The sequence below is a fragment of the Homo sapiens genome, chromosome 1 (genome assembly GCF_000001405.40).
Source record: "Homo sapiens chromosome 1, GRCh38.p14 Primary Assembly".
In the NCBI taxonomy this organism is placed as follows: domain Eukaryota; kingdom Metazoa; phylum Chordata; class Mammalia; order Primates; family Hominidae; genus Homo; species Homo sapiens.
In genome coordinates this window covers 64,655,669-64,672,621 of record NC_000001.11, presented here as the reverse complement: position 1 = coordinate 64,672,621, position 16,953 = coordinate 64,655,669, and the positions used below count along the sequence as shown (strand labels likewise).

The window sequence follows — 16,953 nt, the reverse complement described above, 5'->3', positions numbered from 1 at the left end:
GATAGTACTGAACCTTACATATACAGGTTTTTCCCTATATATATCTACCTGTGATAGTTTAATTTATAAATTAGGCCCAGTAAGAGATTAACAACATTAACTAATAATAAAATAGAACAATTATAACAGTAATAAAAGTTATGTGAATGTGGTCTTTCTGTCTCTATAAAAATATCTTATTGTATTATGCTATGGGTAACTGAACCCTCACAAAGCGAGACCAAAGATAAGAGGGGGACTACTATATTTGATCTATATTTGATAGAAACAATAAATGAAGCTAGAACTGCTTTAATCAAGACTATATTTTGCTTTATTTTACTTTACATTAGTGATATCAGTTTGCCAGGAATTCTGCATTTCCCCATAAGGGCCAATGACACGAAGCATGAACCATGAGGTGGAACTAAGAAAGCTATTTTTAAAAGCAGCCTGCATTAAATCAAGGGTATGCCCTTGCTTTGATCAGACAAGTTCTTTTGAAATTCAGGAGGCAGAGACTTTTGGTTCCATGGTCTCTTTCTGGGGAAATGTAAAAGGAACAGTCTAAGCAGCTGAAAATGTCACAAAGACTTTGGTTTAATGACAAAGTTAACATCAAAAGTCCTACCCAAGAGTCCTCTCTGGTCTTTCTAGTACCAAAGATATGGGAAGCCTCTAATTACTGACTTCCAGGGAAACAAGAGCTTTTGGTGCATTCCATGCTACAGTTATTTTTCTTGTTGTGTGCTGAGTCTGTCTAAATCATAAACAGTATGCATCTCAGAAAAACGAAAGAAGAGAAAAAGAACAAAAACCTTCTTAATAGGACACCCAGGCCATAAATTAGATTTCTATTCCTGACCATAACTATGCGGTTCCCATTCAACTAGAGATACCTGACATCTATTTTTAAACTGCAGCTAGAAAGGAAATAGCATCCCCAAAGCACTTACCTTATTTTGTTGCCACCATCTTGGTTACAGACAGGTAATAGGTCCATCAGAACTTTGTAGAAGTATCTGAGTGTGAAGTCAATGCCCATCACAGCCACAGTGTGCCCAGAAGACAGCTGTGTACTTTAAGTGAAAAAGATCAATGAGAACAATAGGCATGGCTTATTTAAGGATAAAAGCTATGTTCAGTCACAGGGACATTGTTTGGTATTAGAAATACCTTCCCACTGTTCCTCCCTACTTTTCCCACCTACAAAAATGATCAACTAAGTGACTGATTTAACACAACATGGAAATTTTATGAGAGAAAAAAATTTAAGACTTAATGTAGGACTGTATAAATAAGAGTGGCCCAAAACCTGAGCAGCTGTGAAATATGACGTTCAGAGAGTGGCTCGACTGACAAAAATATGGGCACAGAGGCATCAGGTGGGAGGTTGGATGCATGACTACTACAGTTACTTCCAACAAACCTCTAGATAAAAAAAAAATCCCCCTTAGCAACACCCTTATTATTTACTTCATTTTTTAGATAAGAAAACTGAGATCTCACAAAGGTTAACTGAGTGGCTAAGGTCATACAAAACTTAGGAGGAACAATGTCTAGTCCAGTTTTTTTCCCACAACATTAAGGTTGACTCTACTCAGAGCACAGCTCATATTCTAGAACAAGACTCTCCTGGTCCATAGGCCAGTGCTTTCTCCATTCCACCCTGCTACTCTCAACAGCCAAGGAAGAGAAAATTGGGCAGTAAAACACGGTGCTAACTTGTTTGGCTCTGGAATCAGCAGATCTGAAGTCAAATCTTGGCCCTGTTGCTTTCTATATATGTGGCTTATGGAATGCTGTTTCACCTTTCTAAGTTTCAGTTTTCTCACCTGAAAATGGATTCAATAATAGTACCTACTTTATAAGGCTGTTATTGGGATTAAATGAGATGGTGTATTTACAGTGAACACCTAAAAAAATAGAAGCTAAGCTAAAGAAAACTAAACAGTGAAGTTGAGCCCTCAGGCATGAGTTGACAATAAACTTATTACTCTTTCAGAGAAAACGCACTTCAAGAAATTGCTAGGTGTGTCAGAAGTGTGGACTTCTCACTTGGAACCTTGGCTGTTTTTAATCTATGCTCATGGGTAACTGGGAGGGCATGTGCTACTTGACCAACGAACTCCCCATACTCTTGTGGCTGAGAATTTGCAGTTTACCCAACATAGGACTTTCTAAGAGCCTATTATTTAGCATCACCCACCTGCCTAATTTCTTTAATCACAAAAACCTTAATTATTTCTCATAGCAATCTTAAAAGGCATTATAATTTCCAGAAAACTAAAGCTTGGGGAAATTAGTTATTTGGCCAAGGTCACATAGTGAATAACTAGTAGAAGCAGAAATGTATTTATCATTTTTGTAAGAGATGGGGTCTTGCTATGTTGCCCAGGCTAGATTCAAGCTCCTGGGGGCTCAAGTGATCCTCCTGCCCCAGTCTCAAGTAGCTGGGACTACAGACACACAACAATGGGCTGGTGGAAGCAGGGCTTTAAACTTAGTGTCTTCAACTCCAAAGCATATACCATGAAGTTGTACTGCCTTCTTAGATCTGCAGAGCATTCAAGCGTTTCCAAGCAACTTTACACTATTTAACTATCTGTGAAAAAGCCATAAAGGAATCATAGTTCCCATTTTATAAATAGAAGATTAGGCTGAGAAGGGCAAAAACACATAAGATAGATTAGACCAGTACCCACACCTGGCTCTTTCTACAACCCTACAGCTACCTCGGTGAAAAATAGCACTTAGGTGTTTTGGTATAAGGTAATTTTATTTCTAAACTTCTCTTGTATAACTGCCATCTGCTTCAAAATGATAAACATGCTAAAGCAACAGCACGTATATTGCCTACATAAATCTAGGATTCATATTTTCACCTGCATTTCAGATGGGTACACTGTTACCATAGCAACTCATAAAGAATGATACTGGAAAAAAAAAAATCACACCAAACCTATATTTCTAAGTACAACAGACCAGGCTGTTTGCAATACTTCCGTGAGATTTTCACAGCCAAAGACACATCTAACCAGTCCTTTACTCAATGATTGTACTTCATCTCTAGCAGCACCACCCTTCTCCAAAGAATGCAAACCCAGATTCTCAGGGCACTAAAAATGTGTATGAAAGAATCACAAGAAAGCTTACTATGAGTAACTGATAAGTGAGTGTTGAATTAGAAAATGCCTCTAATTCTCAGCCAAACCACTGAAAACTGAGTTCATGGGACTGCTTCATGACAAGCTGAAGATTAGCTTAAGCTTTCTCTTCTGACCTGCTAAAATGTCAGAACTTTAAAACAAAAATAGCATGATAAAAATAACTGCCATTTATTTGGGACTCGACCTCTTAAGTACAGTACTAAGCACTTGACATGCATGCATCATCTCTAATTCTCATCCTATCAGTTCAATGCAGGTATTACAGCCTCTGTTTTACATATGAAGTCAGCGAGGTCACAAAACATTATTATAAAAGTGCTTAACATTTATTGAGCCCTTACCAGATACCAGGCACTGTTCTAGGAGACTGACACATATTATTTAATTTAATCTTTAAAAATAATCATTTGAGATAGGCTCTAATATCTCACTTTCCTAAGTGGGGAAACAAAGGTGAAAAGGAGTTTGTTTATAGTCATGCAAACAGTAAATGGCAAATCTACTTTTTGGGAGTAGAACCATGTGTTAGGAGGGATGAAGTTCTCAAGCTGGCACCCAAGGCCAAAATCATCAGTAATCATTTGAAAAAAATACCTTTGCAAAGCCTATCTATCCGTGCATCCATCAAAGTCATAGTTACTCTGAGCACCATAAGAGGTAGTTGACTTGCATTTTAAACTCTGTTGATTGAAAAATACACAGCTCTAAATAGTAAAATCACACTCTGCTAAGCAAAATATTCAAACGACCAGGTGCGTGGGATTTCATATTGCACAGGGCAAGAGCACTTATTCTGGGGAATATACACTCACTGAGTGACTCAGGAGGCAGAACCCAGGACTTCAACTGCCATTTCTTGCTCTTATTATATTCTAGTTAAACTTGTGTAGGTTCAACCCATGATGTAAAAGTAACCAAATGAGGGATTTGAATCTGGAGTTTTCTCTTTTTTTTTGAGACAGAGCCTCACTCTGTTGCCCAGGCTGGAGTGCAGTGGCACATTCTTGGCTCACTGCAACCTCCGCCTCCCGGGTTCAAGTGAGTCTTGTGCCTCAGCCTCCAGAGTAGTTGGGATTATAGGCATGTGCCACTGCATTTGGCTGAACCTGGGTTTTTCTTTTTTTCTTTTTCTTTTTTTTTTTTTTTGAGATGCAGTCTTGCTCTGTCGCCCAGGCTGGAGTGCAGTGGTACGATCTCGGCTCACTGCAACCTTCGCCTCCCGGGTTCAAGCGATTCTCTTGCCTCAGCCTCCTGAGTAGCTGGGATTACAGGCATGCGCCTCCATGCCCAGCTAATTTTTGTATTTTTAGTACAGACGGGGTTTCACCATGTTGGTCAGTCTGGTCTTGAACTTCTGACCTCATGATCCGCCTGCCTTGGCCTCCCAATGTGCTGGGATTACAGGCATGAGCCACTGTGCCCGGCCTGAACCTGGGTTTTTGTAACTTGAAAGTCCATCATATTTCCATTGTGATTCACTTGGACCAACACGATAAATATTTGTAAACAAACCAAATCAAAATTCTTCCACCCATTTGAATCCCAACAAAAACATGTAAACGTACATACACAAGCATAAACATCTGCCCCTACCCTTGCCCTCTTGAACAAAAAGAATATGTCTAGACAGAAAAGCAAATGGCTCTTGATGATAAGCTGCCAGGTGAGAGGAGTCAGTTGGGTCACCTAATGACTAAGGCACACCTGGGTTTTGATTCCCTGCACTATAACAACATCTTTAACAGCCCAGTTCTGGCCCATTTCATTGTAATCAAAGACCAAGGTGACTGCTTCCCCTCAAAAGAAACAGTCTTTGTTTACTTTTTCTCAACCCATTAGAATATATGGGAGGCATGACAAGTCACTCTATTTAGACATCAGTAGGAGTGTGCTTCACACATGGTCTGTTAATGAGAACACTGAGGGATGTGTTCTAAGTAAGTGTTTACTTGTTTGCATATGAAATCTTATATGATGGGAGAAGCTGACAGATTCAGACAGATACCATACCCTACAAAGGAGTCAACATTTGGCTGGCTGCAGGGCCCCGTTTTCCACGAGACATAGGCCATGATATTGAAATTCCACACCTATGGCCTCCCAATTCTTGCTCCCAATGAACTTCCGTTAAGAGGAATTTTACTGAATGTCAATCATTTGACACACAATGAGCACCAGTGAAAAGCATAAACTTAAGCAAGAAAATCTGCCTCCTATAAATGTTAAGGCATCATTACAGGTACCAGTCAAAATATGATCTTTCTTGGTTGCTAGGAAAAAATAGCTATTTGTATAATGAAGGGATTAAAACAATGTGTGTGACTTGCCTCCCCACCAAACATTTCCCTGACATCTGTAGCTTAAATATTGAAACCTTAAAAGCAGGAAGCATAAAGCACTCTAAATATATTTCCAGTGATATTGATATAGCATTCTGGGAAAATCAATTTTCAAAAAGCCTTTTAATTTTTCAAGAGATAGTTTCAAGGACAATTTTTTTTTAAAGAAGAAAACCAAACAAACAACTTATTTAATTCTAAAGAGTTAGACTCAAATACAAGAGGCAGTAAGTTTGATATCTTGGTACTTTTTCTTTCTCGTTTTTTTTTTTTTTTTTTTTTTTTGAGACAGGATCTCACGCTGTCACCCAGGCTAGAGTGCAGCCTCAAACTCCCAGGGTGCTAGCCTCCTGCCTCAGCCTCCTGAGTTACTAGGAATACAAGTGTGCCCCATCATGCCTGATTAATTATTTTATTTTTGTAGAGCCAGGGTCTCGCTATGTTGCTCAGGCTGGTCCGGAACTCCTGGTCTCAAGTGATCCGCCCATCTCAGCCTCTCAAGGTGCTGGGATTACAAGTGTGAGCCAATGAACCCACCCCGTTTTTCTTCATTAACAATCCTCCTTTTCTTGGGAAACACTCTCTGGCAATCATAATTGTCAGGCTCCTATTGATATTTCTTTCATCAGTTTAAAGTGGATATTTCTTCAAACTGCTCTTTAGACTCCAACATCTTTTCTTTTTCATAAACATCATCATGGCTGCCAAGAACAGGGCTAACAGCCTTTCACTGACTCAGTTTACATGACAACCATGTGAGGTAGGTATCATTCCCATTTTATAGACGGCAGGAGAAAGCTACGGAATTGAAGGTGACAGAAAGAGAAGATGTTCAAATCCCAGCTGGCCTCACTTTAAAGGTCATGCTTCTGCCTCTAAGCCTTGGTGCGCGTACTCTTCTATTCAGATTTCCAAAATATCCTTGATATATTTAAGAAATGACTATAAAGTTAGTTAAAATATTACCTGGATGAATGAATTGTGTGACTGATTGTCACAACATAACCAGCTCCTCCAACATCTAAGTAAGGACCAGTCAAAGAAATCAACCCTGGATTAGCTACTGCATGGAGATACCTAATGGAGACCAAAGAAAGTCATGTTATTTTATTTTTTATTTATTTTTTTTGAGATGGAGTCTTGCTCTGTCGCCCAGGCTGGAGTGCAGTGGTGCGATCTCAGCTCACTGCAAGCTCCGCCTCCTGGGTTCACGCCATTCTCCTGCCTCAGCCTCTCCAAGTAGCTGGGACTACAGGCACCCGCCATCATGCCTAGCTAATTTTTTGTATTTTTAGTAGAGACGGGGTTTCACCGTGGTCTCGATCTCCTGACCTCGTGATCCGCCCACCTCAGCCTCCCAAAGTGCTGAGATTACAAGTGTGAGTCACCGCACCCGGCCAAGTCATGTTATTTTTAAGTATGCACCTCTACTCTGTAAATTTCAAAGAAAAGTGAGCTTATAAGTCTAAAAATATTTAGGATGAATTTTGTTTGTGTTACACTGAAATGCAAAAGGATTCTCATCTTTTGTATCTGACTGTAGCATCAACACAAGTAGTAAAGAGAATCTGAAATTCCTTCTTACTTTAAAAAGAGACATTGAACTCAGTATATATCTGGGCATTTACTAAGATATGTAGTATAGTTGTTTTTTTTGTTTTTTTGTTTTGTTTTTTGACAGGGTCTCATTCTATCGCCCAGGCTGGAGTGCAGTGGTGTGATCTTGGCTCACTGAAGCCTCAAACTCCTAGGCGTAAGCAATTCTCCCACCTCAGCCTCCTGAGTAGCTGGGACTACAGGTGTGTACCACCACACCCAACTAATTTTTGTATTTTTTTTTTTGTAGAGATGGGGTTTCACTATGTTACCCAGGCTGGTCTTGAACTCCTAGGCTCGAGCAATCCACCTGCCTTGGCCTCCCAAAGTGCTAGGGTTACAGGTAGAGATGTTTTAGAGGCTAGGTAGATTTTCTGTTCTTATGTCCAGTTGACTCCCCTGCTATGCTATAGCACATTGTTAGCTCTTGCTTTTGAAAATTAAAGTAAAAAAAAAGCCTAGAAGTAAAAGAATGTTTTTGAATTTGTGTGTTCATTTTTCACAGGTCATACATAAGCTGTAACTTGATTCCATAATCATGTGTAGTAAAATGAAGTCTATCCAGTAGGGACACATTTTGCATAAGGTAGGAATCAAACAAACCACTAGGAATTAAAATTGCCAAGCATAAAGAATTTCAGGCTCAAAATTTCAATGAGATAAAAACATTTTAGATAGAAAAAACCCCACAAAGCTGTTGTTAATGCTGCACTGAAAAAACTATTCAGGAACATTTTTCACCACCATGAAAGTATCTTCTTTAGTTTAATGCCCTGAAGTTGCTTTATTGTATGTACTTACCATGTCTCTCCAGGATTTGGGGGAGAACCTTTGATAACGGAAGCCCCTAAAACTCACCATTGTCTCCTAGTGGGATCAAATGCTTTGTCCATGAGGGAACCAGGATAAATTCTGAGGACGCCATTGGGTGTTGCTATGTAACGGCGGACAATGTAAGTGTTCAGGCTACTCATTTCCATTTGTGTCATCCATTCATCTGTGACGTGGCTGGTAGCCATTACTTCATTTCTGACAGAGAACTGGGAAACAAAGGAAGACATAGCAGGGATCCTTTAAAACTCACATGAAAAGAGAGTGGGCTGCTGGCAGTGTTCCCAAAGCTCTGTTGCAGAGAAGCCAAGCCGAATTACTTTTTAAAAATCTTTCCACAGCAGATGGATGCAACCAAACTTGGTGAAAATAAAAGCTTGCAGAAATACAGTCAGCAGATGCGTGATCACTCAATTGTTCACCCTACCTAGGCTTTCTGAGTTTAAGAAGAAAAATCCTATAGCGAGTCATTAATATACACATATATACACACTAACCCTAAAGCTTTGTTCCTTAAACTTTATACTTATATTTATCTCGAGAGACAGCAGGGGCACTTTACTTCTTCCTCTGGGTAAGACAGGGCTGGGAAAGTTTCACTAGTCTCTAAATCACATCCCTCTAACATCACTGGAAACCCCCAGTGCTTCTAAGGCCTGTAACAGATTCTCCATGTGGCCCACGGGGCTTCTTCATCCATCAGAAGAGTCACTGCTGACCAGCCTCCCCTGGGCCACACACTCTGCAGCTCTCCAGCTGAGAGGCACAGATGCAGAGCTGGGTTTCCTACTTCAAAGGTTCACTGCCAGCACCCCCTGCTGGGCCTGTGGAGGGGGACACCAGAAATGGAGCTCTGCGCCAATGCTTACTTTGAGGCCCGGGTTAGCAATGAGGCGGGTGTTGTCGCTGAGATAGGCGGTGTAGTGCTCTACCATGCGCTTTGTCTCTGGCTGGCTGAGGTGCTCATAGGGGGAGGAAAAGCTGCCAGCAGACAGCATGATGGTGGGACTTTCTGAAAGAGAAGCAAACAAAGCAGGCCTGAGAATGCGGAGACTCTATCTCATCCCAAACAAAGGCATCACTCGGGCTCTGCCAATCTGTCAGCTATGGTGGCTTAATGTCTTTTTTTTTCCTTTTTTTCTTTTTTTTTTTTTTTCAGATGGAGTCTCGCTCTGTGGCCCAGGCTGGTGTGAAGTGGCGCGGCTTCGGATCACTGCAAACTCCGCCTCCTGGGTTCCTGCCATTCTCCTGCCTCAGCCTCCCCAGTAGCTGGGACTACAGGCAACCGCCACCACGCCCGGCTTATTTTTGTATTTTTAGTAGGGACAGGGTTTCACCGTGTTAGCCAGGATGGTCTCGATCTCCTGACCTCGTGATCCACCTGTCTCGTCCTCCCAAAGTGCTGGGATTACAGGCATGAGCCACTGCGCCCGGCGGCGGCTTAATATCTAAAGGGCCACATTCTCTCCCTTCAGGGAGCTTACAGTCCTAAGAATGAACCAGTAAAGACATGCGCCAATAAACACAAGTGCTGGGAGTAGAAATTCTTCAAACTATCTGAGATCTACATATAATATCTTATGAGGAATGAGGGGACAGCTTATGACACACATGAAACCAGTCTGGATTAAAGCCATTTTCTGGCTGTGTGATGTTGGGCAGGTTATAATACATGTAGTGTTTCTCTCATTTGCATAGCAGCAATCTTACAGAAATACGGTGAGAATTCAATGAGTTAATATTTGTAAAGCAAATGAGTATTAACTATTATTCATATTAGTAGTACTATTTAAGAAAGAAAGATGGAACAGTGAAATCAATGCAAAAATCAAATAAAAATTATTCACTCAGATGGTGGCAGCAAAACTTGACACAAACAAAAGCTTCTAGAAATATAGTAATTAATGTATACATGTTTCATTATTGGTCTGATCTAACAGGAAAATCCTAGTTCTCTATTTAAGATAAAAATTCTCACAGTGAATCACAGTGCAGAACAAAAACACTAAATCTTCGTCTTTGAGATTTTCTACCATTCAACCTTATAGTATTTTTAAAAGCTTTAGAAAGCATGATCATGTGTCCTATCTCATTTAATCACATAGGGCATCTTCTACTCCTTTTGTTAGTTCTCACACGTCATGTCTTGTCTCCTGGTAGCCTGGTGATCTCTGATTGTGCTGGACATTGCACTTAAAAAGTAATCTGTAGAAATAGCTTGAGGCCTAAGAAGATGGGGGATCCTTCTCCAGAGAGGATTGTTGTTTCATCCTGTCCGGTGCCACACTGCAAGATGTAGCAGGTGGGGTGTTGGAAACAGTTCCCAATTAGGAGCCAGGATACTGACCTAAGCACTGCATGACTTCAACTAATCCTATTTCAAAGGCTAATGCTTGAAGTTCCCCAAACCACTCAGATGATAGGAACCCCAAGTCAAGGCCTGATTTAACTTCAGGCCTTCCCCTAAAGATGTAGTCTTTTAGAATCTCTGCCAAAAGCATGTATGTATGTGGGGCTGGGAGTAAAAAATTTATTAGAGTCTTCACCTTTTGTGGACCCTGGATTTGATTTTTGCTTCTCTTCCTTGCCTGAAGTAGCTACTTAAAGCACTGTTTAATTTCACAGCTGTTTCTTCTGGATTGGTAGACATGTGCATTGCAAAAGTGGCTTTGAGTGTTGGCTCTCTTCTCTGGGTTCTTATTTTCTCTGAGATTTTTGCCCAGTAATTCCTCTCTCTCATGTTAGCTCTGATGCTTTCCAAGATTTTAATCCAGGATTACGTTTCAATCCAGGAATTTTATTAAATAGTTGTCCTCAGTAGGTTGGGTTAGAATTACCTAGTCTGCCATTCCCAGAAAACATTAAATAATGTTATGTTTCATTTAATTCTGATGATATCTTCATTGGCTACCCTGGGAGATTATTATTATATTAATTAACCAAAGCAAAGACAACCAGAGGCTGGAAAAGGTTAGGGTGCCTAGCAGCATGCTGTGGATTCATGTATATATTCTTTTGCAGGCCCTCCATGCAAGGACCTGCCAAAAAGAGAGAGGGTAGTTCCTGAACTCAAAGAAGTTAGGATCTGATTGGAGTGACAAGGAATAAGGAAAATAGAGAAAAATAACAGTGTAAGAATAACACAATAATATAAGAAGTGTCAAAGGCACCCACTTCAGAGACAGAAGAGTCACCACGGGGCTGGAGTAAAGAGAAGAAGAGGTGGCTTGGGGTCTCTTTTGTAGTGACAGAGACTGGCGTTTTAGAAAAGGCTAGTGCAGTAAGATGGGGTGAGCACAAAGAGACAGAAGGAATCAAGATACAGGACCCAAAGCTTTGTGTCTAGGAGGTAGACATGCTTATTTATACACACATATACATATTTAATTGCCTTAGATGATGCACTCTTAAAAATTTTTTCTTTGTCTCTTTGTGTACCAAGAAAGATGATGTCCTTCTATCAGCTCACTTGAACACAGGTGACATATATTTAAGACCTGGCCTCTAAACCCCCACATCACTGAAATCAAATGGAAACCACTTCTTTGCCATTGCTTCCCATATTTCCTATTCCCTTTTTATTGTATTTTAATTACCTTGGTTCATTTTCATTGCCAACTGATCCTAACTAAGATGCCCTTGATTACCTCTCCACCTTGTCCTGGGGCCTTACCATCAAGGTGAGGAAGGGTGCCAAGACCTCCCAGTGAAAGTCAGACACTGGCCTATGGTCTGCTTGTTAATCATATATGAAATAATTAAGTTCATACATTATCTGAATAATCTCTATGAGGCAGTGCTTGCTGTCCAACTGAAATGCAATGCGATCCACAGATGTAATTTAAAATTTTCCAGTAGCCACATTAAGAAAAGCAAAAAGTGGCTGGGCACAGTGGCGCCTGTAATCCCAGCACTTTGGGAGGCCAAGGCGGGAGGATCACCTGAGGTCAGGAGTCAAGACCAGCCTGGCCAACATGGTGAAACTCCATCTTTACTAAAAATACAAAAATTAGCCGGGCGTGGTGGTGCGCAACTGTAATCCCAGCTAATCAGGCAGCTGAGGCAGAAGAATCACCTGAACCCAGGAGACGGAGGTGGCAGTGAGCCAAGATCGTGCCACTGTACTCCATTCTGGGTGACAAGAGCAAAACTCCCTGTCAAAGTAAAAATAAATAAAAAAAAAAAAGCAAAGCAAAAAGTAGTATTAAAGTAATTTTTATAATATGCTTATGGAATCCAGTATATCCACAATAGCATTATAATTTTAACATGTTATCAATATAAAAATTAAGTATGAACTTCACACTTACCATACACCTCAATTTGGATGAGCCATATTTAAAGTGCCCAATAGCTACACGTGGCTAGTGGCTGCCATATTGGAAACTGTAGCTATGGGAGATATGCAAAGGAAATAAAAAATCTAGGCTTGAGCTTCTTTTTCATCAAGAAAACTATTGTAATTTATTGTCTCAAATTTCAAAACAGTGACCTAATTTTCACCAGCAGTAGCTTGCTCACACAGAACTTAAAAGAGGCTTCTACACATCAGTGTTTCAGTAAAGCATTTCTTAAAAATATGAAATTTTTAAACATACTTTTTTGTATAAAAACAAACAAAACCCCAAAGACCAAATCAAAACAAAGAAATATAAAATCCTGCCTTCTTGGATCAACATCACTGGCTCTATCCAAATTGTCAACACTGCTGGGAGGTATCCCAGAAGAGACCACTTAGTCCAGCCTGCTCTTCTGATCTCATGTCCAGGCAGAACTCTCGAGGATGGAATTTAAGAGAGGAACACAAACACGAGTGCTATCATTTGGAATCTAGAGACTGCAGACTTCTAGCCTTGATTTTATTCCCATCTGTTCCCCTTCTTCTCAGTTGGCCAGTTGTGTGATGATTCTTCGTTATTAACTGCTTTGAACCCTAAGTCTTTTCAACAGTGAAAAAGAGAATACCTGTTTTACTGTACTGTCAGTATACTGTGGTTTGGTGACAACATAGACCACGAATGCCTAGTATGTGTCTGGCACATGGCAGAGCAGAGGTGCATGGGTCAAATCTCAGCTTTGCTATATTTTATGTTATCTGGGGGAAAATTATCTTTGGTAAACCCAAATCAATCACATGTCAACTCAGGTGAAAAATAAAAAACATCTGGTACGTAATAAATGTAAATTCCTTTTTGCTTCCTTTGAATTATCTTCGAATTCCTAAGCCCTTTTGAAGATAGGAATCTGTGGTAGATTACTGCTGATATGCTACATAGATTCCTTTGGAGGCCTTTTACTGTTATTCTACCCCACCCCACCTCAATATCCCCATACTTACATGTTTACCTTTAATGGGCTGTATCTGTGCCTCTCTCTATGGACTTAGGGCTACTGAAAACTCTGTACCTAGCACTAGAAGAAAGTTGAAAGTGACTAAGAAATGTGAAAGTTGAGCTCTCTTTAGAGTCTGGGCAAACTCTATTGGTGTAATTTACACTCCAGAGACCCCCTAGAAGACCAGGCTGAACTTAAAACTTCACTCAACATCAAACTTGTCTTTTTTGCCTTCCTTGTCCTGTTTTTCTCACTTCTTCACTGGTTTCTCAAAGCCCATCCTATATAAATCGCGAGCACACGAAACCTTGTCTCAGAGTCTGCTAGACGATCTGATTTGAGGCCAGGCTTCAAATCGTTTTCATATTTGTATCCCCAAACCAGCTGACTCTGCAGGCATTCAGTATCTTTTTTGGAGGGGTGGGGTGGATGGTATTCAAAAGGATATTTACAGTGAGCTGCTAAGAGTAAGAATGTGAAGGAAGTGTAAGGGCTTTACCTAGGGTTGCCAGCTGTTTGAAGTGGAGGCAAGCACTGGGCTGGCCAAGGAGATCCAGCCGGTGGTACAGCAGCTTGCTGCTGGGAACAGTGTTGAGGTTCTTCAGTTGTTTCACAGGTATTTCTGGTTGTATCACCACAATACACAGAATAAAGGAAGTGTCTTGTACCTGTAAAAATCAATAAAGAATTTCTGACCTAGAAAATGAGGGTTCCATGGGGACAGGGACTTTGCATACATTATTTTCTACTGCCTCTACCTTCTATCTTCACGTGGAAGGTATTCATTAAATATGGGATGAATGAATGAAGACATGAGGATAGGGTGATAGAAGGTATCTAATTTTGTATTTTCTGTTTTCTTTTCTTGTTGAGGAGACCTGAAGTATGTAACAGAAAATCATGGGGCTAACGAAAGGATAAGAAAGGAGTCCCTTTGAAACTGTGACCCTAGTCTTTTTTTGCTAATGTGGGTTAATGAGCACAAGCTAGAACAGGACATAATAATATAACACTTATTTCTATTTGGATTTGAAATGCACTTAAAAATACATAATTGGTTTTGCAATAAGTGTTCTGAGAATTGACTATTTTTCAAGCCAGTAGTGAATTCTCACTTTAAAAGAAAGGACTGAGGAGCAGCCAATACAGAATCCAGTTCATTCATTCTATTCCAACGAATGCTTTCTCTTCTCCTGGTTGGAAATGACCAACATCACTACTTAAACTCATGAAAAACACAAATCCTATGGCATCCCTGCAGAGTCAGCCTGATTTGTCATTGCAGACCATGGTAGGCAAGTATGCCATAGCTTAAGTCTAACTTATTAAGCTCATATGTAGAAACAGTAGTATTTTCAGATTCACTTTGTGCCTAGAAATGGATGCTTCAACAAAATTTAGTGGGGACAATGTCCACCACAGAATCAAAAGCCAATCTACCTAGTTCTAGCCACTTGAGAAAGACTTAAAAGTAAAAGAAATTTCTCGATTATTATCCTATTAGAAGAAAGACTGAACCTATTTAAAGATGGTTTATAAATAAATGAAGAAGTTGATGACTAGCGAAATCAGAACTAAAGAACGGTGCCTTATAAAGCAGCTCATGTGACTTACTTAGTGAAATAAAAGTAAAAGATGAAGGATAAAATTTTAACTAGGCAGGTTAGAGTTAAGTGAAATTTAGGATTTGTGAGGATGGTTGTAGACTCTTAAACACAGAAGCAATTTGCATCTTCCTGGAATTGCTTTCAAGTACTGCTGGCAAAGATATTCAATTAGATTAACAAATTTAATCCTTTTCCTCCATTCCCCAAATTATAAATTGACAAGGTGCTCTGAAGTGGCATTTACTATTTTCTCTCTTTTCAATCTCACAGTCATCTTTTAAGTTTGTTTTCCTATGTTGTGTGTTCCAAGGAACCAAAAGACAAAACCCTACCAGAATGACTAGAAAATAATTTTATAATTGGGTCTATTCTGTAAGAGAAAAATAAAGTTACCGTAAGCTTCTAAAAGTAGCACTTTATAAACAGTTCTTAGGAAAGCAGATTTCAATATAGGTCTTTCTGTCATGTTCTTAGCTGAAAAAAATAGTCTCTACATTAAAAGGAACTCTATTTCTAGAAGGGCTCTCTATGGGTTGGGAGTGGGTTTTTTTCACTGATTATAACATGGGATCCATGTTTTGAAGTGAAGCAGGCCTGTGTAACATGGGAACATGTGAATACCTTCTAATAGTCAGTACTTCTATCAGAGCAAACAGCCTCCTAAAGTGCTAAAAAATGCACTTGGGTTACACAGTGATGGAGTAATCTCTTAATGCTGCTAACATAATCTCTCAAGTTATATTTAAATTAATTCAGTGAAATAATCCCTCAATATCTGCTATATCTATGAGTGCTAAGCAGTTTAGGCAATTGTCCTTAGGATAAGCTAACTCTATTTGGATTATATTAGAAGAAACCATTTTATTTTTTAGGACAAGATAAGTATCTACCCTCCTCCCCAACAAAGTAACTAAAGAGATCTTAAAAATATTTGCCCTTATTACTGGGTAACCAGCCTAGCCTTTTTTTTTTTAAGTCTCCAATCTCATTATTTATTATCTCCTTAAGTTTTCACTTACAGGGATCTGCTCAACAATTTTAGAACTCAGAGAAAGCTAACACTGCTACCTGAAGTGACTACCTGATTACTACCTCGAATTTGCCTAAGAAGAATAACCAGAATTTACTAGCATCGTTGAAAAAAACCCCACTAACATTGAGGCTCTTTACTGTATCAAGAAGGTCAGACAAATGCCTACATTTCCTTCTTTCCCTTTTAATGCCAGCAACCATGCAGATATTTTCCCAGGATGTAACTGAGTTGCTTTCAATCAGAATATGTTGGAGGTAAACAATCTCTAATTTCAAACACAAAAGTCTGTTTTCTAATTGAGAATTTTGGTGGCCGGCTCACCCTTTCTGATATGAAAATTAAATAATTTATCTTTAAAAATGATATAAATATAAGGGCAGATGGTGCTATCATTCTAAAGAAAAATCTGAAAATAAGTCAGCTAAGAGAATTTCAAAATAGGCTTTGACCTTCCTCAAATGTGTATTACCAAACAACAAACTACCAGTAGAATTAGGCTTGTAAACATAAGTTTCTCAAATAGTTTCATTTATTAATTTGTTTGCTTCATTTGCATTTTAGTAATTGCTATTGCCATAATGATATTTTAAGAACCAAACAAGAAGGTTGGAAGAGACTCCTGCCTAAAGGCATTCTGGCTACTCCCAATTCCTATCTTTCCTGATCCAACTGATACAGGCACAGACACTGTATCGAGTTGCTGTTTGTCTGCATCCACCACTAGGCTCGATGCTCTATGAAGGCAGAGAGAGTGTCAATCTTCTTTATCCTTCTTAGTACACAGAAAATGTTCAATAAGTAGTTTGTAAAGGGATGATTAAATGGATCTATTTGGAGTCAACAGGTTAAACATCTGATTTGTCCATCCAAGAAAAATCTCATGTATGACTGCATTTTATGTTCAGCGATTAAAATTTGATGATAAAAGTAAAACTCTACTCCCCTTTTGGTCAGTTATAGTATTTAGGGTCCTTCAACAGCACTGCTATGCTACATTGGGAAGGAAGAGGAGAGAAGAGAAACACAGGTAACATGAACAGTGTGTGTTAGATACGCTTTCTCTA

The 16,953-nt window shown here is 39.5% G+C and overlaps 1 protein-coding gene across 5 annotated transcripts in view, besides 1 other annotated feature; it reads right to left on the bottom strand.

Annotated features, from left to right (window-relative positions):
- The window catches only part of CACHD1 (cache domain containing 1), a 222,925-nt gene that overhangs the window by 20,432 nt on the left and 185,540 nt on the right, over positions 1 to 16,953 (bottom strand). For all 5 annotated transcript variants that reach the window (NM_020925.4, XM_047426234.1, XM_047426235.1 and 2 more), the window contains 5 exons: positions 13,749 to 13,917; positions 8,785 to 8,927; positions 7,943 to 8,124; positions 6,455 to 6,565; positions 936 to 1,058 (listed from right to left, as the gene is read on the bottom strand). In NM_020925.4, the coding sequence (NP_065976.3) occupies positions 936 to 1,058; positions 6,455 to 6,565; positions 7,943 to 8,124; positions 8,785 to 8,927; positions 13,749 to 13,917 (728 nt within the window). The remainder of the gene's footprint in view (positions 1 to 935; positions 1,059 to 6,454; positions 6,566 to 7,942; positions 8,125 to 8,784; positions 8,928 to 13,748; positions 13,918 to 16,953) is intronic.
- Positions 8,689 to 8,864: a silencer, noted in NCBI's record as "fragment chr1:65129441-65129616 (GRCh37/hg19 assembly coordinates)". NCBI's record gives its function as "represses an EF-1alpha promoter that drives an FKBP-Casp9 reporter gene in an ReSE screen in HepG2 liver carcinoma cells {active_cell/tissue: HepG2}" and the evidence as "EXISTENCE:reporter gene assay evidence [ECO:0000049][PMID:32094911]".